The sequence below is a fragment of the Homo sapiens genome, chromosome 5, assembly GCF_000001405.40.
Source record: "Homo sapiens chromosome 5, GRCh38.p14 Primary Assembly".
Classification (NCBI taxonomy): domain Eukaryota; kingdom Metazoa; phylum Chordata; class Mammalia; order Primates; family Hominidae; genus Homo; species Homo sapiens.
The window spans coordinates 58,771,861-58,793,214 of record NC_000005.10 but is presented as its reverse complement, the minus strand read 5'-3'; the positions used below and the strand labels follow the sequence as shown (position 1 = coordinate 58,793,214).

General features: G+C 40.0%; 1 protein-coding gene across 2 annotated transcripts in view, besides 1 other annotated feature; it reads right to left on the bottom strand.

The window, feature by feature from the left end:
- RAB3C (RAB3C, member RAS oncogene family) overlaps positions 1-21,354 on the bottom strand; it is a 277,243-nt gene that overhangs the window by 66,180 nt on the left and 189,709 nt on the right. The window lies entirely within an intron of this gene.
- Positions 17,357-17,406: a silencer, noted in NCBI's record as "silent region_16035". NCBI's record gives its function as "represses an Ori minimal core promoter by ATAC-STARR-seq in GM12878 lymphoblastoid cells {active_cell/tissue: GM12878}" and the evidence as "EXISTENCE:reporter gene assay evidence [ECO:0000049][PMID:35858748]".

Genomic DNA, 21,354 nt, shown 5'->3' with positions numbered 1-21,354 from the left:
TCTCTTTTGGTATTGTATCCACAGGCTGTACAGTTCAGCAAAGCCCTTAGGGCCCACTGAGAGGTTTGAGGCTGTGTGTCCCTTCTCTGCAGAGTGAACCAAATATTTTTCTGTTTGGGCTGCTGACTCCCCTCCATTTGTGACAGGGTTCTCCCTCAGGTACAAGCAATAAGAATGTGCATTGGACATACAGAATTTTAGAACAATAATATAACACTCTAAATATTTTTCTATTATTGCCATGTGCTAGCAAACATGAGAATCAAAACAATGTCAATGATAAAATACTCCTGCCCTCAAAAAATCTTTTCTTAGTGTAAATTCTAACAATTACTAACAATTAATTACATATATAATGATTATATATATATAAATCTTTTATTAAACTTTGTGTGTGTGTATATATACACAAGGTTTTATATATACACATACACACACACACACAAAGTTCAGTAAAAGAAGATTTTTACTGTGTTTGTTTCAGGCTATTATTATTCATTCCACATCACAATTATTAACGAAAATAGCTTGGCCATCTATAGGAAGGGTTGTTGGGAAACATTCTGCTCTGGAGTCGAATCTAGTAGGTATACTATCACTCCCCTTCATCTCCCCCCTCCCTCACCAAAATCAATGTTTCCATGTGTGGTTCACAGCTTCCGCCTCTGGCTCTAATTTCCACTGCACTGTACTAGTCCCTTGCATTTGCATCTGTTGCTCTCCTCTCTTTTGTTTCCACTTTCCCCTTTCCTTTGTAAAATTTCTTGCTTTTTTCCGTGCACTTGGTTCCTTCTTCAGATGGTTGGTTTGGACCATTTCTGCTAGCCTATGAGTAATCCCCATTACTGCATGAGGAAAAGGTTTTGCCCCCATAGCCATAGGGCTGTTATTGTTAGGTGCCTGGAAGCTGCTCCCTTCACCTTTTCCTTAATTCCTGGAAGTATTCCAGATATAGAAGCCACCAGGTTTATATATTTCCAAAGTAAACACTAACACAATTTTACCCATAATGCTAAATTATTATAATAAGCTCTGGTGGTGAATTTAATGAAGATAAAATGGAGATGGCTTGCCATGCAAAGAAACAAACCCTCCCATTATCAACTAATTTCCTCATATAAGATATTACTTTGAAAACTGTACAATGACACCATCTCACACTTATTTGTATAGTACTTGCTATTTCATTTGCATTATTTCCTTTGCCATTTACAACAACTTTATTATCAGTCATTGTTATTACTGGCCAATATCATCTCCATTTTAGAAATAAGTAAACCACTTAAATGACTTGCCTACAGTTACATGGAAGGCCAGTGCCAAAAATAAATATTTTCCCAACATCAAACTGCTTCTAAGTATCATAAATTCTCACTTTTTAGAGTTTCATGAAAATACTGGAATGCTCATGTGAGGAAATAATTACTAAAGTTTGGGAGGCTCTCACTTTAAAAGATATCATTATACCTGATGGTAGAGACCTGCTTATCTGAGTATCTGAATGATACAGTCTCTTTTATTATAAACAAAATCTTTATTTATGAAATCAAAACATTTTTATTTAAGCACCAAATAGATTAAGTAGCTTCTTAGATTCATAACTATGGAGGAGGTCCTGGAGGACATGAATTATGTTTCAACAAAATTAAATTTATTTTATATCTCCTCTTAACTAGCCAATCCTCCAAGACTCATCCCTAATCATACCTTCTTGAAAATCCTCTTATATCCCCAGATGGATGAGATCTCTTTCTCTCTGCACCTGCAGAGTTTGCACTGGGGATTCCTTACTTTGTCCAGCCCAACATCTAACTCTTCATGTTGTAACGGAGCCCACATTTCTCCTGTGTATTCACCCTTCTCCCATTGTGAGTCCCAGGTGGTTTGAGCACGCCAACTCTCTCTTGATTCCTTGGAAGGGCCCATGGTAAAGGCCTAGTCAAGGAAATCCCCCTGGCTACTGAACTTAGTTCAAGCCTGGGTCCAGTAAGCCTCAATCACAAGGCTTTTTGTGAGACTGCTGTAAGAAAGAAAATGACTTTGGTGGACTAAGAACTGGAGGGACAGAAATCGAGATTTGTGGAAGCTGCCATGGGTAAAGGGCTTGACTGAGAGTAAGCTTCTTCTTCATATATGTTTTTTTTTTTAATGTCAAAAATTATATGTAGCCAGACTTATTACTCATAACTTTGATCTCAGCTCTGAAATCAAAATAAAGCCAAATTTGAGGCAGAGCAGGACCAGACAGAGTGAGAAAGGAGGAACAAGAGAATGGAAGGGGGAAACTGATCCAGCGAGACAGACCTGTGTTGTCACCACGGGCCTTCTGGATTTATTTATGCCTGATGCTAGATCACCTCTGAACCCTTCAGTTATGTGGGCCAATGGCTTCTTGATTTTTTTTCCTTCAGGAAAATTGAGTTGGGTTTTTATCAAATAATTATAATAGAAATGATCACAGTTACTATAGAGACATCATTTTTTCTTCTCTTAGGCCATGTACCATTCTTTGCCATGTAGAGTGTGAACCTCTGAAAAAGTGCAATACCCTTGCATCAACGGGGAAGCAGAGAGTAGGCTCTAGTGGTCCTTGTTTGTTTTTTTCCCGCATAATATATTAGATTTGATTTTTATTGTAGAGCCTGCATATCAGGGCTAGTGGTCCTTGTTTCCCTGTGGAACCTGGCATTCCTTGCGGGTTTAAATGCTCCACACTCACTTTCTTATGGACAATAAGGCTCACATGCTCATTTAAATTAACTTCCTGATGTAGAGCATTTAATTTGAGCATTGTCTTCCTTTGGCATTCAGGAGGGAGCTATTACAACATTTCTAAAACTAATCAGGGTTTGAATTTGCTACTCTTTTGAAATCCCACAGATGCAAATATTTATGAATTTATATAGCAGCCATCTAGTGGTCAGGCATGCCTATTTTAATTTCAGAACTCAGATAAAAATATGACTAACTTAGAATAATAAGTCTAGTGATAGTGTTTGGCATTAAAAAATATCATATAGGAAGATGAGGGTCAGGTTTAAGTGAAAAGATGTAAAGCCCTATTTTGGACATGCTGAGTTTGAGATGCCTATGGGATATTAAAGCAGAGATAGCTAAGAGTTAGCTGAATTAATGGGTCTAGACTTTAGGAGAGGCCGTTAAGGGGAAAATACTTATTTGGCTACATATTAGGATCACCTGGGGAGCTTTTAAAACCCATAATGTCCAAGCCACATCTCAGACCAATTTAATCAGAAGCTCTGGGAGTGGAGATTAGACGTAACTATTTTTTAAAGCTCTTCAGGTTGGTAAAATGTGCAACCAACATAGAGAAATAATGCCCTGGTGTGTCTGGCTAATGTTTCAACTACTGGAAAATTCAGCCAACAAATCAAAACACTTCAGGATAGAATTATTTACTTAAGCTGTGGTTCCAATATTCCCAAGAAAATGGTTTTATTTGTATGTTCCTTTTCTCACTTATTCCTATCTTATAATTCTATGAATTTTTCCAATTAAATAAAGAGGCTGCTTAAAAGTGGAAAGAACATAAACTTTCCCAGGTATATGGATCTGAGTTCAAATCCTGTCTCCTCCACTCATTAACTGTGTGGCCCTGGCTGAGATACTTAACTTCCTTGAGCCCTAACATTTTTCTTATTTGTAAAAATGGGAATAGTATTGACTTTCAGAAGACTCTAGATAAATGAGATACTTCCAATAAAACAGAAAACACAGGGCCAGCTATTTTGTAGCTGTTTAATATACTGATAATAACTGTTGAAATAAGGTACACAGTTCACATGTATAATGATAGGAGCAAATGTCTGTTATTCTGCGGATAATAGGCTTAAGGGTATCTGGTTTGGGGTCTACAGCCATGCCTGAGTAGATATACGCACTATATCTCAAGCTTCTGTCATTCACTGTCAGGGTTTAATAATATTTTCACCTTGGTTAATGTTGTGAGAAGAACGGGCTCTAAATGAGGCAGCTGGTACCCCAAGCAGAACAGCGGTGATAAGGCATAACCAAATAAGAGTGGTTCCATTTTTCTCCCCACCAAGGCCTGGCTTAGCATCTAAATTTTATTTTCCCAATTTTGTATTTATAATGCATTTTCCTTCTCTCATGGCTTTTAATGACTATTTCTTTCCCCTGGCTGCATGCACGCATGCACCCCCATTCCCAGATTCACGTGCCCATGTTCCTTAGCATAGACTCCTAAAGCTAGCCTCTATTTTTAAATCTCCTCACTCTTCCCTTCGTCTGAGTGGTATCATCTGGTTTTGCAGATATTTCACAAAACCTTGACAGGCATTAAGCCATGGAAACCACTTAGGAAAGAAGGAATATGATATATTTACATACCATTATCCAAAATGTGAGATTTCTGTAGCAAATATTGCTTATTTATGATAACAACAAAATGGAGCCACCTACTTAACCTTTCAATAAAATTGTGATTATACATAGACTTTACCAGTATTTACTTAGAAAAGAACATTATACACAAGTGAGAAAATGTCCCTCCTTTCTCTCCCACCCACTGTTCAATTCTACACACTTTATTAGTGCATTTGAAATGCATATTTTACTCAGAAGTGTGCCTAAAGCTTTCACCAAATCTGCCTTAAGGTGCACTAAAGCAGGGTCCAGCAACATTTTCATGAACAGGAAATTATACACACATAAATGCATTTGTTTCTGATATAATCTATCAGACAGGCAAAATTAAAACTGACTTTCTTTCCCTTCATTTACATAAAAAAGTCTCAAAATAATAGAATTCAGCAGGTTCTCATTTGAGGATGAGATGGAAATGGACCACACAGGACTTACCTGGCAGGAGTAGGGGGCAAGGTGGTGGCAGTGCAGCTGGGGCTTTCAGCCTACAGCAAGTGCATTAAACACAAAGCCATCTTTGGCTGTTTTTCAAGACAGAGGTAGGGGTGCTGCAGAAAGATACGGTGAACTCCTTATATGGAAAGAAGCCAGACTGAAGCAGCATGCAGAGAGAGCTGAATTAAGTGTGCAGATTAAATGAACAGCTTGCTTTACGTACATCAGTTAAGTTCAAAGCTTTCAGACCTACTGCTAATAGCAGGCTTGGTGAAGAAATAAACAGTGAACTGGTGACATGGGCCTGGCAGAAGGCAGGCAAGAACTGCACCTGCCCTCTCGCTCTCTGTTCCTCCAACCTGCATTTCTGTGGTAAGGTTTTCTCTGTATTTTGGGCTTTATCTGCAGCACCTATTCTTGAAAAAAAGAAAAGTCTTGATGTCTGTTTAGTTTGGAATCCCTAGCCAACAACAGTGGAGGGAGGGGAGTGTTCCGCACCCAGGAAAAGGAGTTAGGACAGCTGAGAATCTAACAGCACTGACTTGAACGTCAGAACCTGAAGAATGAGGGTGTCATTCCCGCCGACCTAGGCACAGAGCTCTCCACAGTCCTTAGATGCAAATGGGACCGTGCACACCAAAGAACACAGACATCATCTGGTGTCATTAGTGTTACTTTTACTGTGCTTATTATTCATGGTATCTAAAGGTGATTCTAGTCCCAGCCCAGTGAGGCTGGCAGATATATCTCTCTAAGGTCTGTATGTAGGGGAAATAGCCTTCTCCAAACTGTTACCCTCTCCAATTCAAGCCAAAGAGCGTAAACTCTCCATAATTCTTCTTAAGTAATTAAAAACTTATTTTTCAAAGTATATAGACAAAACACATTCTTCTAGAAAGTGAGAAAATACAGAAAAACATAAAGAAAAAAATTACCCACAATTCTACTCCCAAATTAATCCCTTAACATTTTTCTGTATGTTCTTCTCAAGAGATTTCTTGAGTCTCAATCTCTTAATAAAACTGGATTTTATTACAACTTATGAGGTAGTCATCGACAACTGAAATCTACAGAGAAAATGCTTACAATTTACATAGAGAGTATTTCTTTGCCGTGGAAATCGTAAGGAACTCCGTGGTCAGGTTCAGAAAGGAAGCCAGCCTAGCGGCAGCTCCACGCAAAACTATTTTCAGCTCTGAGCTCCCGGGGCTTCCCATGGGGCAGGTGTGTATCATCCGGAGATGTGTGGGGCTCAGGCCTGTTGCCCAATGCGTGCTGTTGTGGGGCTGCCAGTAGTGGCCACTCATTTCACCTTTAAGATCTGAGAAGGAGTCTAGTTTCCAAGACATCGAATCTTGAAATGATGCATTGAACTTTCTGGCCCTGGTCGTCTTATCTCGGAGCCTCTTGTGCTCCTTTCAACTGGCCGCGGATATCCTTAGGAAGCCCGATGCCTTTCTACTTCTGGACGCGCTGGGCAGATGCGGCACATGTACCGCAGTAGGAACTTTCCTATGCGGGGGGCTGGCGGGGGGTGAGGGGGCGTATAAAAGAAACTTAATTGTGCTCACTTCTCACACATAAGTAGATTTTTTTTTTTGACAAACTGAATCATGTTCTTTACTTCCTAGATTGGGTCTGTTCCCTTTTTCCCCTACTTTGCGGTGGAGCCAGCTGGGCTCAGTGTCTCAGGCAAGCCGTGCGGTCCGAAAGAAAATAAAAATAACCTGCACATTTTCCTGAACTTTGTTTTCCAAAGCTCAAACATTTGGGATAATTTAGAGAATTCATAGAGATATACACAGAGCATGGAAGAACCAGGGCAGGAGAAGAGCTGAGACAAGCCACATTCTCCTGGGCTGTGCTGAAGGGGCGGGGAGGAGAGGCCAAGGAAAGAGAGTGGGAGGGAACTGTGCGTCCCTCCTGTCTGTCTGGAGTCGCCTGTTCCACCACAGGCAGCCCCCCACCAAGATTGCACCTATAAGTGTGCCACTGGGGAAAAGGATGATGGACCAGCCAGCTGCCTCCAATGCATCCCTAAACGCTGGACTCAAGAACTATAGCCAAATTTGAAGGTAGGGGTGGTGGAGTTTCAAAACCCCAGGAAGGGCTGAGGTTCAGGTCTGGGAGAATGACTCAGAGTGAGAAACTGGCTTAATGAACAATGAAACTGTGTTTACTGCTCTCCTGAGTTGTGGATTAATATCATACTTGTATTACTTTCCTATTGCTGCTGTTCCAAATAACAATAAAGACCTTGAAATGTTGCAAGTCTATTATCTTACAGTTCTGTAGGTCTAAAAGTCTGACAGAAGCTTCACTGGGCAAACATCAGTGTGTCCTTAGCAGGGCCAAGTTCCTTTCTGGAGGCTCTAGGAGAAAATCTGTTTCTTTGCAATTTCCAGCATCTAGAAGCTTCACAAATTTCTTACCTCTGGGTTCCCTTCTATCTTCAAAGCCAGCAATGGCTGGCTTCCTCGTATTGCAGCACTCTGAAACTGATTATTCTACATCATTTCCCCTGCTTCACGGACCCTTGTGATCATATTAGATTTACCTGAATAATCCAGGGTAATCTATTTTGAAGTCAGTTGATCTATTTTGAAGTCAGCTGATTAGCAACTGTAATTCCATCTGCAACCTTAATCCCCCTTTTCAAATAACATAACACATTCACAGGTCCTAGAGATTAGGATGTGAACACCTTGTGTGGAGGCATTATTTTGCCTACCACAAACTCAATTACACACTGGACCAACAGCAACAGCATCACTTGGGATCTTGTTAGAAATGTGAGTTCTCTAGCCACCTCTCATACCTACTGAATCAGCATCTTCACTGAACAAGATCCTTAGGTGATTGATTCCTATGCACTGATTCAGAACATTCCAAATAGTAGAAGCTTGAATATTTGTACAGAGGTAATATGCAAAGAAGTAGGGCAAATTTTTACCAAAAGAAAAATAGGCTCAGAGAGGTTAAATAATTTAGCAAAATCACTTAGTGCAGGGGTTGCCAATCTGTCCTGCACATTATAATTAGCTGGGGATCTTGAGGAGCTTTAAGAACTCCCAAGGGCCAGGCTGCATCCCAGACCAATGAAGTCAGATTTTATGGGGGGTGGGACACCCACATCAGTTGCTTTTAAAATGCCGTAGACGTTTCCATCGTGCAGATAATTTTGAAAGTATGGGTTCTAGAAGACTTCAATGATGAAGAGAACCTAAATCCTAGGTTTTCAGAATGACCAATTGTCTGGGTTTGGTCAGGAATGTTCTGGTTTTAAAACTATAAAATGCTGTGTCTTAGAAATTTCCCTCAGTCCTGTGCAAACTGGGACAGTTAGGCACCCTTGTTCCCAGGTGTAAAATCCAGCCTACCACAACTGCTGCATGATGTTGAGTTTAGCTTTTCATCCTTACCTTCTCCACTGCTTTCCTGTGGGATACACACCAGACACATGGATAAGCCATAAGGAGACAATGCTTTGACTGTGTGGGTGAGATAGATAATGCCGTGCTTTCCTTTAGATCTGAGGTCTGCTCTTAGACCTGCATCTCACACAGCCTATGGAAGTATGCTAATGATCCTGAAAAGCTCATTGACTCTTTTCAAGCATGGTGATGAGGTCGTGGGAAGAAGAGCAAAGGTAGATGATTTCTCTTTCTTTACACTTACCCTTTAGTCTTTTTGACTCCTCCCTCCCTTCCAGCATTCCCTACTTAGGAAACATATTTGGTAATAAGAGCAAGATCATTTATTGGTTATTAGTTGGCTTGTAACACATTTTTTTCTTTAATGAAAAAGCAGCAATACATGTAAACCGAGTGATATGGCTTGGCTGTGTTCCCAAATCTCATCTTGATTTGTAGCTTCCACAATTTCCACGTGTCATAGGAGGGACCCATAGGAGGTAAAGATCCATGGGCGTGGATCTTTCCCATGTTGTTCTTGTGATAATGAATATGTCTCACAAGATCTGATGGTTTTACAAAGGGGAGTTCTGACTTTGCTTCTCATTCGTCTTCCGCCATGATTGTGAGGCCTTCCCAGCCATGTGGAACTGTGAGTCAATTAAACCTCTTTCCTTTATAAATTACCCAGTCTCAGGTATGTATTAGCAGCATGAGAACAGACTAATACACCCAGGGTCTCCAAAATGAAAATGTGGAGGACTATATATTATATTCCTCACTTTTCATTGGGTGAGGCTTTCTGACCCATTTATTTTTAAGCCATGTTTTCAAACAGGAGAGGGGAAGGTGGGCCTTCAACCAATCAAGAATATCACTCTGGATTCTATGCATCCTTCATCCCTTATCTCAGGATGAGAACCAGGCACAATATACCAGGGCTGCTAATAAAAGTGCCTTCCCATATGCTCACCCACAGATTCCTGGCTCACAACAGAATATAGTTACCATTTCAACTTCTGGGTCTCCCAACGGACTTTTATATGGTTATAGGGGCAGGAAAATGCTTGTTTACCATGAAACAATTTAAGTCAGCCAACATTTAAGTCAAAAACAATAACTTCTCAAGGTTCCTGGTTTGCTTAGGAAATCTTAAAAACAATGTTGTTTGTGGATAAAGGGGAAGGAAAGAAGAAGGGAGAATGTTTGATGTTTAATACCTCAGTGCATTCTCAGGTCACGACTGGCCATGTGCCCAAAACTGCCTGTAGGATAAGCACCTTCATGGGATCCAAGCTTATTAGTGCATTTACTTTAAAAGTATTTGATCCAGAGCAAGTACTATATGGAAAATACTTGGTCTTTGCTCCCTCGGTGCAAAGTGAGACAACTACTTAAAATACAAATAATGGTTTTCTGTGTCATGTCCCCTTCAGCAGAAACACAAATTACTTACCTAGAATATATCCTAATAAAAGATTATAATTCTTTGGAAGAAAATACAATCTATTTTTGGTTTACCAGTTACAGAGGAAAAGCTTTCTGTTCTAAATGATACACACATGTTGTCTTTATTCCTGCACTTCAGATATTCATTATTTTGAATGATTGAAATGTCAATTTAAATTTTCTCACCATACATGAATAAGAAAATAAACGTTTTACTCAGCTGAGCTTGATGTAAAGATATCTTTTAGCCTTTAATCTAAAAAAATGTCCCTTGATCAGTATCTCATGGGGCATTTTCTTTATGATTGGGGAGCATTTGTGCTTTATAAGCGTATATTTATGTGGGTTGAGCTCTCACTAAATTAACTCCTAGCAAAGGGAGGATGGAATAAGGTTAGGAAAACACATTCAGACCTGCCAGTACTATATTAATGACAAAAATATATCCAAAGCAAAAAGGAAGAGTTATGAAAATGCAGTGTTACAGATCTGCATTCCACATCTCTCGGAAATCAAAAGGGGTTACATGGTAGTCTCCTACCAGGAAAGAATAGAAGCAATTAAAAAAAAAATAACATTATGGGACATAGTACAATCAAAGGCTGTGAAAATGAAAAGCCTTCATATTTTAAATCTGAAAGGTAAATGTGGTCCTAGATCCTGGCTCTTGAGAAATTATTCTTATCCTATCTTTTTTTCAGGTGGCAAAGGCTGTTAAGTGCTTTCTGGGTATAAAGCTAATATTCCTACTGAAGTGCTGACTGATTCATACCTTTGCATGACTTATGTTCCAACAATTCTGTAGAATTCTCAAATACAGTGTACTTTAGAAATGCAAAGTTTTAACACTATTATCATTGAAATTATTTCTGAGCAGAAAAAAATGCTTAATTTTCATGTTTCGGCTGATTTAGAAAAAAGTAACTCATTAGCAGTCACTAAAAAGGAATCCTGTGCATTATGTTTAAGTATAGGAATAAATATTTAACATTTACTGTCAAAGATGAGTAATTATATATATAATGGTGGGCATAATGAGTATTCACATTTGGAGATACTACTTAAATACTGTGTACAAGGTGTTAAAGCATGCGGTGAGAAATTCTGGAGGACAACCTAAGAGAAAAGATTTGGTTTAAGGCTCTTAGAGGAAGTAGGGGGGCATGTAGATTTTTGACGGGAGTTTAAGGCATCATACCATGTCATGTAACACACAAGCATGTAGAGAGAGAAAGCTCACTTATGTCAAGGATGCTTTCTCTTCCAAGCCTCGCCTGCTTAACCTGTTGAAGTCTGAACCTGTGGTATACCAGTAGACAAGTGCCAATGTATTCCGCTTCCCATTCATTCATTCATTCTTTCTCTCTCCAAAGCTTTATTGACCTTACATCTTTTAGTCATGGGGATAAGGGGTAAAAGAGGATGCAAATACACGTAAAACACAGTTTTACTCAGAGGACTTTCAGGCTGGAGCAGTTGATAAGATATGCACTCAAAAGATAGTGAAAAGTATTACAAAAATTTTTAAAAAGTAAAATGTGGTAGAGATTCGGTAGAAGGGAGAATCAAAAAAAAATTTATGTAGAATATAAAATCTAAGCTTGACCTTGAAAAATGAGTAAAATGAGACATACAGAGATGAAAGTCAGGGACTGGGGTAGTGGAGAGGGAGGAGGAAGTTGGAAGAGTACATTCTGGTTTGGTTCAGGGTGGGATGGAGAACTAGAGTGAAGCCCAGTGGCCCAGATAAAGAGAGAGAAGAGATACAGTGTAGGTTGAGTCCAGATTATAGGGAGCTCTACATGCTAAGGGTTTAAACCTAATTGTATAGGTACCAGGGAGCCACTGGTAGATTCTGCGCAGGCTGATGATGTGAAACATGAACAAAAGAGTAATCTAAGAAGATTAACATAGAGTTTCCATCCCAACCCTACTTTTTTTTTTCAACTAAGAATTAAGCCTTAATGCTTTCAAAGTATATATTTTACATAATAAATTAACTTGTTCCCTGTGCATCTAGAATGGTGCTACTGTAGTTAGGAACCATGCTTAGGAGAACTAAGAAAATAGTTACTTAAGTCATATTCAGATGAAGAACTCTGGTTAAGAAAGGAAATGCTCAGAAATACAGAAGCCAAATTAGAAGACTTTTACAAGTTTTAATAAAAGAAACTAAAGTAATAGTAGGGAAATACATATACAAGTATTAATTTTAACCAATCATATCTACCTAGCAGCAGATCATTCTCTCACCCAAAGGTTATATGCAAACATGAAATCCTAGAGGGCCATACTGTGTGGAGTCAGGTGGGACACTGATGAGCATCTATGAGTATTTTTGCTGGAGGTCTTAACTTTTTTTTTATTTGACTGATTTCCCATTTATTCATTCATTTTTAGAGGGGTTTCTTCTTGCCTTGAGAAATGATGCAGTTCTAGTTACTATTCAGAGATAGGGCTAGAGTCTAATTCAGGAAAAACAAAACACATATGGAATCCTAGACAGAAGCAAAGAGGATCTGAATGAAATTATAGCTGGTACATAGTTACAGACTACAAGATAGGTAATTAATAATAAAATACTAAATATATCATAGTAGTCACAAGTTCTTTACAATGGAGAAAGAAATTGTGACTACTATGATATATTTAATATTTTTTATTAGCCCCATCATTAAGGAAGAAGCCATACTTCCTTCAAAGGAGGGTTTGAAAACCTCCACCTAAGATCTCAGGATATTCCAGAACACTGATTATGCCAGCAACAAGTTGGCCACAAAGGGTCGTGAAACAGACATAGGCTCACCCTGTCTAGGGAGACAGAGTGGCAGCATCACACAGCCACAGTCTGAATTTTGCTGAATGCATTGTAAGCACTCAGTTCATAAGGTAATACCTGGAGCCAGTGCATAAGCAAATGACAAAACTTAGGTACTAAGGTCCCTGGAGTAAGAAACAAGATATCTAGACTTAGATGATTTGGGGACAAAGACTGCATGTAAGTTAGAAAGAAGGATCCAGACCAATATTTTTCTTTAGAAAGGAGAACCAGAAGAGATATTGGTAACCAAGGAGTGCTTTTAATAATTTGTTATACTTAAATACATAAACTATTAAGCCCCGGGCCACTCCTATTATCTTTCAGCGTTGCGAGGCACAATGCTTTGATTTTCAGGAAACCAAATTTAGAAGCTTTGTAAAAATTATTCACTCTAAAAATTCATTCTCCCTCCAGGAGAGGGGATGTCTCATTTAATTGGAGCTCATACTTCCACTTCTGCAGTCTCATCTTTTTGGAGTCTACAGGCCTTACCAATACAGGCCTTGCTATTTGACCACTGTTGCTGTGCCACCCACAATTTGCTGCCAATAGCATGCCCACGACACTGCTAACCTCTTTTATTCCTCTGCCCTCCAATGCTTTTCAGTTTTAGACCAGTAGGAAATACCTTTCTGATGTTCATGACCATCATGAAGATGGGGTCCCTGTGCCCGAAGCTTTTGGGCCAACTAACACAGTCCTTTCCATTTTTCCACAGCATCTCCCTTCCTCTGTGCAAAATGCTCCCAGGTGAGCCTCTTTAGATATTTGACCCTAACTGTGGATTAGGCTCAAGTTTTTGTCCACATTGCTTGCTGGCACTATATATCTCAAGAAATGTGGCTAAGTACCTTTTTTAGTGTTTCCCAAATGTTTTATAACCCTTCAATTCTCCCAAACACATTGTATAATTAGGAAGCTGGATAGCCCAGTACACAAAGACCATCTACCAGTGTTCAGTTCTGGCTCCTCTAATATCCCTTTAAAATCTTATATCGTAAAGGCTGGGAAGAGTGGTTCATGTCTGTAATCCTAGCAGTTTGGGAGGCCAAGATGGGAGGATATCCTGAAGCCAGGAGTTCAAGACCAGCCTAGGCAACATGATAAGGCCCCATCTCTACAACGAAATTTTAAAAAATAAGCTGAGTGTTGTGGTGAGTGCCTGTAGTCCTAGCTACTTGGAAGACTGTGACAGGAGGATCCCTTGAGCCCTAGAGTTTGAAGTTATAGTGAGCCATGACTGTGCCACTGCACTCCTGCCTGGGCAACAGAGTGAGCCACTGCCTGAAAAAAATCATATATATATACATAAAATCATATATATATATAAATCATATTTTATATATATATAAATTATATATGTATATATTTCCAACCATCTATAATGAGTTCATTCTTGAAAAGTCTACAAGTTCCTTTTTTGGAGTTGTTACAGATACTTAGAGCTGACAGTTAAGACAGTCAGGGGTGAAAAGCCAGAGTGAGAACTTGGATGGGATCAGTTTGTTGCTGTGATTCTGTCTTGTTGGCACTAGACTGGACTCTCCTTTTTGAGGCTGACATTATGAGTGTTCAGCTCTGGGCTGCCGGTAGTTGAAGAGGTTTCTCTAAAAAGAGTAACATGAATCTTACCATAAGTGAGTTAGCAGAGACAGAATGAACGTGGCTTACTAAGTGATTGTTGATGGGATATATAAGCTGTCAAAGATGACTTTGTGTTTTTAATCCTGTCCCACTTGGAGAATGACGCTATTATTAATTGAGCAAGGAAAGAGAGAAGTTGCAGTAGGCTTAGAAGTGAAGGTGATTCAGTTTTTGACATGCTGAATTAGAGATTCTTGTGGGTCATCTGAGTGGAAATGGCAAGAGTCAGTCAGATACAGTGCACATGGAAGAGGAGTCTAAACTTAAGACATATATGTGGGACTCATTTACATAGGCATGATAGATGAGGCCATGGCATAAATAATTTTAATTCACTACCTTCACACTCCATTTGGGTATGAGAGGTAGAGAAGCTGGTAAGCAAAATAGTGTTCTTGGCATATCTAATTCAATGATGGGCTCATTCCTAATGCTTCATGATAAGTAGGACAAGAAAAGCAAGGAAGTCTGAAATTACTAGGCAGTGCCAGAACCCATTCTATCCTTTATCCACTGTTTCAACTCATGCAGCACTGGATTAGTTGAGATTCACAGCTTTTCCCTGCCTTTGTTCCCTTTCTTATTGGGCATGGGCATGACTCTACATAAGATGAAGTGGAAGAAACAACCAGCTCCCAGATAACCAACAAAATGGTTCCTCTCTTTTAGGAGGCTCTAAAGGATTTTAAGATTGACAATTTGTAAAACTGATTAGACCAAGAGGTTAAAATCCTAGAAAACCCTGCCTCTTGTTGAAATGTAGCTGAGGATTTATTGTAAGATTCTATATAATCTTCAGAGAAAAATCTGCTAACTTGGCTAATGAAGAGTGCTGCTTTTGATAATGTTTCCTCCTAAATCCAATGATATTTAGAGCTAAAAACTCCTATAGGACAAATGATAAAACTCTGAAGTACAGAAAAATGATGGGTTAAGTTTTTTTCCAAAAATAAAAATATAGTGTTCTAATTTCCATTATAGTGATACATGTATTCATCAAACATCAAATGAGCACCCACAATGTACAAGCTTTGAACAGGACTCAGGGATTACAAATCTGGTCAGTAGAACTGTATACAAAACATGTTCTTTGGAATACTATGCAGCCATAAAAAGGGATGAGTTCATGTCCTTTGCAGGGACATGGATGAAGCTGGAAATCATCATTCTCAGAAAACTATCGCAAGGACAAAAAACCAAACACCACATGTTCTCACTTAGAGGTGGGAATTGAACAATGAGAACCTTGGACACAGGAAGGGGAACATCACACACCAGGGCTTGTCATGGGGTGGGGGGAGGGGAGAAGGATAGCATTCGGAGATATACCTAATGTAAATAACGAGTTAATGGGTACAGCACACCAACATGGCTCATGTATACATATGTAACAAACCTGCACGTTGTGCACATGTACCCTATAACTTAAAGTACAAAAAAAAAAAAAAAAACATGGTCTTTCCTTTCAAGAAATTCCCAGTCTTATGGGAGATATAGACATATAAAATTATCTATAACTAAATGTGCCAAGATGTTATAGTGCTATATGAACTGCTATGGACATTAATCCTAAGGGATTTGGTAAAGCTTCTTAAAAAAAGTAATATTTGAGGTGGATCTTGATGCTCAAAGAAGGTTTTTGAAGTGACCAAGGCAGGACTAGGCGTTCTAGAACACAGAACACCCTGGCATACACACAGAGCTTGGAAGCAAATTGTTTGAAGAAAGAAGGAAGTTTGGTGCATAGCATACAGTGAGTTGCAGGAGGGATTGAAGGAGAGAACTGAAAAGGCCAGAGCTGGCTTGGGCAAACTTGGACTTTCTCCTGGATGCAAGCAGTAGGAATCCAGTGAAGAGAGGAAAGCTGTGTCAAAAGTGCCAGTGAGAAGTGACAAGGATAGGGATTGCAAAGAGAATATGCTGAACTTTTCTGAGGTAGAACTACTAAGACCCAAACCTAAAGTTGAGGTTATCCTCAGGTTTCTATTTTGGAAGACTCAGTAGCATAGCTGAGAATCCTAGTAGTGTCCAATATTCTTATTTCTTCTTTTCTTTCTGAACATAGAGCTAAACTTGATTTCCCAAACTTTTGCAATTAGTTGGGATTATGTATCTGAGTTTTGCTCAATAGAATGTGGGCAGAAGTTATATACATACTGCTTCTGGCCCTATTCATTCTCTCTTCCCCATCTGCACTAAACTTCCGGGTAAGGTATTGACAATGGCCACATCACAGGATGGAAGGAATTTGACCCTAAAATGTGTATAGAGCGGAACCTCCCCAACCCCTGTGGGACTGCAATGGACTGTGATATCCAGTGGAGTGGGAGCAAGCAGTCAGGTTTTATTGTGCTAAGCCATTAAGATTTGTGGTTTATCTGTTTAAGCAGCGCGGGTTACTACTGTGAGCAATATCGCAGAGAAAAAAGGGGAGTGGTATAAATAAGATGGAAGATTAAGAAGAAAATAATAGGCTTAGTTTTATCTATGTTGAATTTGAGGTAAAACAGGGGCACCCAGGTGGTCAAGAGATCATTAGAAAAAGGAGTTTGAAGCTTAACAAACAGGCTAAGACTAGCTTTGTTGTAAGACCTCGGAATGGAGATATTATTTGAAGTTAAAAAAGTAAAAGAACCACCCTTGATGCATAGGCTCAGATGAGAACATAAAGGCAGAACTCTGGGGGAAACACCAATATTTAAGGTGTAGAAAGAAGAAGTTTCATCAAAAGAGTTTGGAAAAGAGTGGTATGTGGGGGTAGCGGGGAGGGAAAGGTGGGTGGAGGAAAAATCCAATTTATGATCTAGAAAATTGAGGCATGAGGAAGTTGTATGACATCCTTAAGCTTAGAATGTCTATTAAGCAAGTCAGCAGGGATTTGAATCTGGACCTATCTGCTCCAGGAAACTAGAAATGACCTAAACAGTGGCTGAGAGAGTGAGTTCCTGCAGAGAGAACCAGGAAGGAATCTGGTATGTCTGGTGAGAGGTGGAGTGAGCAGAAGAAAAGTGTGGTAGATTCACAGCCAGGGAGTGATGGGCCAAAAGGTCAGTATGTGATTGAAAATGCAAGTTTGTGGGACAGGCAACAGGAACTCAAAAAGAAAATGTGAGCAATAGAATGTCAAAACCTAGAGTTGCCTGCAGGAGTGTAAGGCTGAGAATTGGGGAAATGATGAGTAACACTTACCATCAGCATATCCACAGCATTTACAGAGCACCAGACCGAAGCCCGGAGGCTTCACCACTGCACTTAGCAATTCCTCTGTGAGGATTTGAAAACTGGTGGTCTGCAGTTTTATATGACTCACAGACAGGTTCTATTTGGTCTATAGGTATTTTAAAAAAAAATTTAGTTATCAATTTTTACAAATGGAGAAACTTCACTAAAACTTCAGATTTCAGGATTCTTTTGAAAAATTCCAAAGCCTGGCTACCCTGAGCCACTTTTTCACCTGGTACGTATCATGTGTAAGTGAGAAGCATTTACCACCTTAGAGGGGTCATCCCATTTCCATCCACCTTCACTCACGCCCATTACCTGTCAGCCTTTGTCAGATTTCAGTCTGCAAACCCTGCTTGAAGGAAATTAGAAAGGGAAATTCAAGTCTCTGTGGCTGTCATGATTTCATTAAACCTGCCAGGTGGGATCTTCTTACGTGGTGTTACTTTTATAGGTCAAGACACAGTTGGGCTTGCTTTGGCCCTGAGGTTTTATAAAGGAGCCTCAGATACTGAAGAGAAGCCCCTGGGTTTGACATTTGGTACTTAGGTCATTTGTGATCTCAGCCAAGAGTATTTTCAGAAGAGCACTGGGGGCATGAACCAGATGGGACTAGATGAGGACAGAAAGTATGGAGGCGATGAGTGAAACAGTCCTTTTGACAAATGTGGTGGCAAATGAGGATGCAATCGTGCACAGCACTTCTCTCTCAGATGATTGCAATCACTTCCTAACCAGGGTTCCCACTTCTTCCTCCACCCCACTCTACTCAATTCATAACACAGAAGCTGGAGGGATCCTCTTAAATATATTGGACCATGCCACTCCTCTACTCAAAACCTTCCCACCAGCTTCCCATTTTCCCCAGAGCAAAAGCCAAAGTCCTTAGTCACGATGCTTCACAAGGCCCTCAAGATCTGGTCCCCTGACCTGTATCCTACTAAAGTTCCACCTCTCGCTCAGCTCCTGCCACACAGTCTCCTTTGCTTCTTGATTTGTGCTAAGGACACTCTGCCCTGACACAGGACGTTCACATGGCTGTTTCCTCTGCTTTGAATGCAGAGTCTTCACTTGGCTTCTTTACCTCCTTCATATCATGGCTTGAATGTCACCTATATCTAGCTGCTTTATTTAAAGTAGCATCCCTACTCCCTCTCCCTCCCTAGTAGACTCTGCCCCCATTCCCTGTTTGTATTTTTTCTAAGAAATTTATAAACATCTATTTTAAATTCATTTATTTGTATCCCTCATTACCTTATTATCTGCATCCACCCACCTCCATTAAAGGGCAGATGTTCTATATGTTTTTCCCCACTAATATCTCTGTAGTGCTAGAAACAGTGCCTGGCACATAAAAGTTGCTCAGGACATACTAGTTGTAGGAGACAGAGACAGAGACTTAAGCATGTTTGTGGGCTAAAAGGTAGAAGATGGAAAGAGAGGTACAGAAGAAAGGGTATATAAATGATCCCAGAGGAGAGGGGAGCAGATATTAATAGAATCAAGAGCTTAGGTGGAAGCACTGGCCTTGGAAAGGCAGAGAATTCTCCCTCCCTCCCAGGTATGTGTACAGGAAGCAAGGATAGATCTGATACCAGGTAAGAGAGAAAGAGAAACTGGTGCTTACCAGTTACATTCATGAGTGAATTAATTTATTCATTCATTGATCCATTTCAACATACTATGTCTCAGGTGCTACACTAGGGAGTAGGGGTACAGAGTTGATGCCCTCTATTTTCTCAGTGATGTCAGAGCAAGGCCAGTAGCTGAGAATGCAAAGGGAGGAGAGCTCCAGGAAGCATGTGAAGAGTGTAGAGTTTGGAACAGCTGCTCTGGGCACTGTTAATGGAAGGTAGTTAGGACACGTGAAAAGACTGCTGAGCAGCATGGAGAGCCCAGCTGAGGTTGTCCTGGTGCCAGCTGGCAGAGGTATCCGATTTTCTCCAGCAGCATTTGCAACTTGGGAGCAGAAGCAGAAAAAAAGCAGATGGTTGGAATAAATTGGTCCTGGGAATTGCTAGAAGAGGATGTTGTAGGGGGACTAGGGAGTGATGGGATCAACTGATCAGCCCCTAAACCTAATGGTTCACTGCGTCTTCATCTTGATGCTGTTCACTTGATTTTGAGGAATGCCACTGATTGACAGCTGTGCCTCCTTTCCCCCAGAGCTCTTGAATCAGTACCAGCCTCAATCAAGGTACCCAGTGTGAACTGCTGCACAAACTCTGAATAACCAAAATGTTGGTATTTACTCATTAGAGCTCTTCTGACTCCTCACAAATTATTCAAGGGGAGTAGCCACCTACTTTCCACACAAACACACCTTGAAAGCTGACTCTTTGCTATCCGTTAGACATTTCTGGCCCACTCCTTGGTGAATTCTTACTTATTTTCCTTCTGAAACAGGTAGTTGCAGTCCTATGATGGGGAGTGACTTGAATGCTATTCCAAGTTCATTTAGGACAGTCCCTTATTTGGGTTCTCAGAAACATGCTTTTACTAATAGGGGTTCTTCCTTGCACCTCTTTCTGTGTATGAGTCTCTGCTGCCTTAACAATGAATACTAAGTAGGAGCAGTATGTACTCCATTCTAAGCCACATCTATAGTGGTTAGTCCCCTGGCCCTAGGCTTATAACTTGCCTTTATCTCTTCATGTGACTGGTTTACAAAATGCCACTAAGCTGAGCTAGGTTGGCTTATCCCACTGTTGGCCTAGCCCTCTTAGGACTTTATCTGAAATCTTTATGACTACTTTCCCAGATACATAGTGTGTGTCTATTGCTCTCCTGGGAGAATCTATGTAGGCTTCTAGGTCAGGTTGGTCAGACGATGCATGAAAAGCATAAAATGCCTGCTTCTTTTGGGTTGTTCTTCCTTCCTACCTAAAACCTGACACTTTCACCCTTGGCTTCATGGTCCTGTGAATGCAACATGATTTTTCTTTGTTACTGAAAAAGATTTTACTTCTCCACTCTTATGATTCTCTATACAATAGACCTATAATTTCCTTACCTGATATATAATCTTTAAGCAATTTAAGATTTTTGGCATATGAATGCTGAAAATTAGAAGAATGCAAAGATTTAGATTATTATGCTGAAATGCAGTCATCTGGAATAGTTAGAAATTTAGAATTCAAGGAAATAAGTTGAAGTGTGCTTTCATGGGATGCCCAGAAATAAGATAAAAATCAAAAGACAAGCACGATGAGCCTTCTCTCTCGTCTTCTTTGTTCTCATGACAATGAAAAGATTTATTCAACCTTGGAGAACATTCTCCAGGGACTTGGCTAAGGCTGTCCACCTCTGTCCATAGTGGTCTGAGAGAGCTGCTGCATCACTGTGGTGCATTAGTCTTTCTTCCCTGAAGTCCTTTCTTAACACACAGACTATTTCCAGTATTGATTTTCTGCCCTTCTATTCTAATGGAGAGACTCACTTAAAGAACAATAATCTCACAAATGTTCACCCTACCAGGATCTCCAAACACCCCATCCCATGTGACTTTATTTTAATACCATCATCAGGTTCATAGTCTTGAAGCACTACATTGGTCCTGTCAGTCCCTTGCTGAAAAACCTTCACTAGTTCCCTATTGTTAACCAAGTACAGTCAATTCTCCTGGTTCTGCCATTCAAGACTGCACTTATCAAGCCTCTGCTCACATCCATGTCGCATTAGCCCATGCATTTCATATAGCCAAGCCCAGAGTCAGCTTGAGAGGACTATAGAAGTGTATGGATACCTAGAGGTGTGCTTTTATTGGGAGTTACCAGTGCAACCACCTAGCATATTTCTGCTTTACTCAGTAGTATTTCAACGTTGCTCTTTTCTATTTCCATTTTATACACTTTGAGTTTACCAAGCCTTCTCTTATCTCTTGGTGCTAACAAATGAGATTGTAGTGCTTAGCCTTGAGAGGTGGACTTTGCCATTAACCTCTGCCAGGAAAAAGAATCTCAA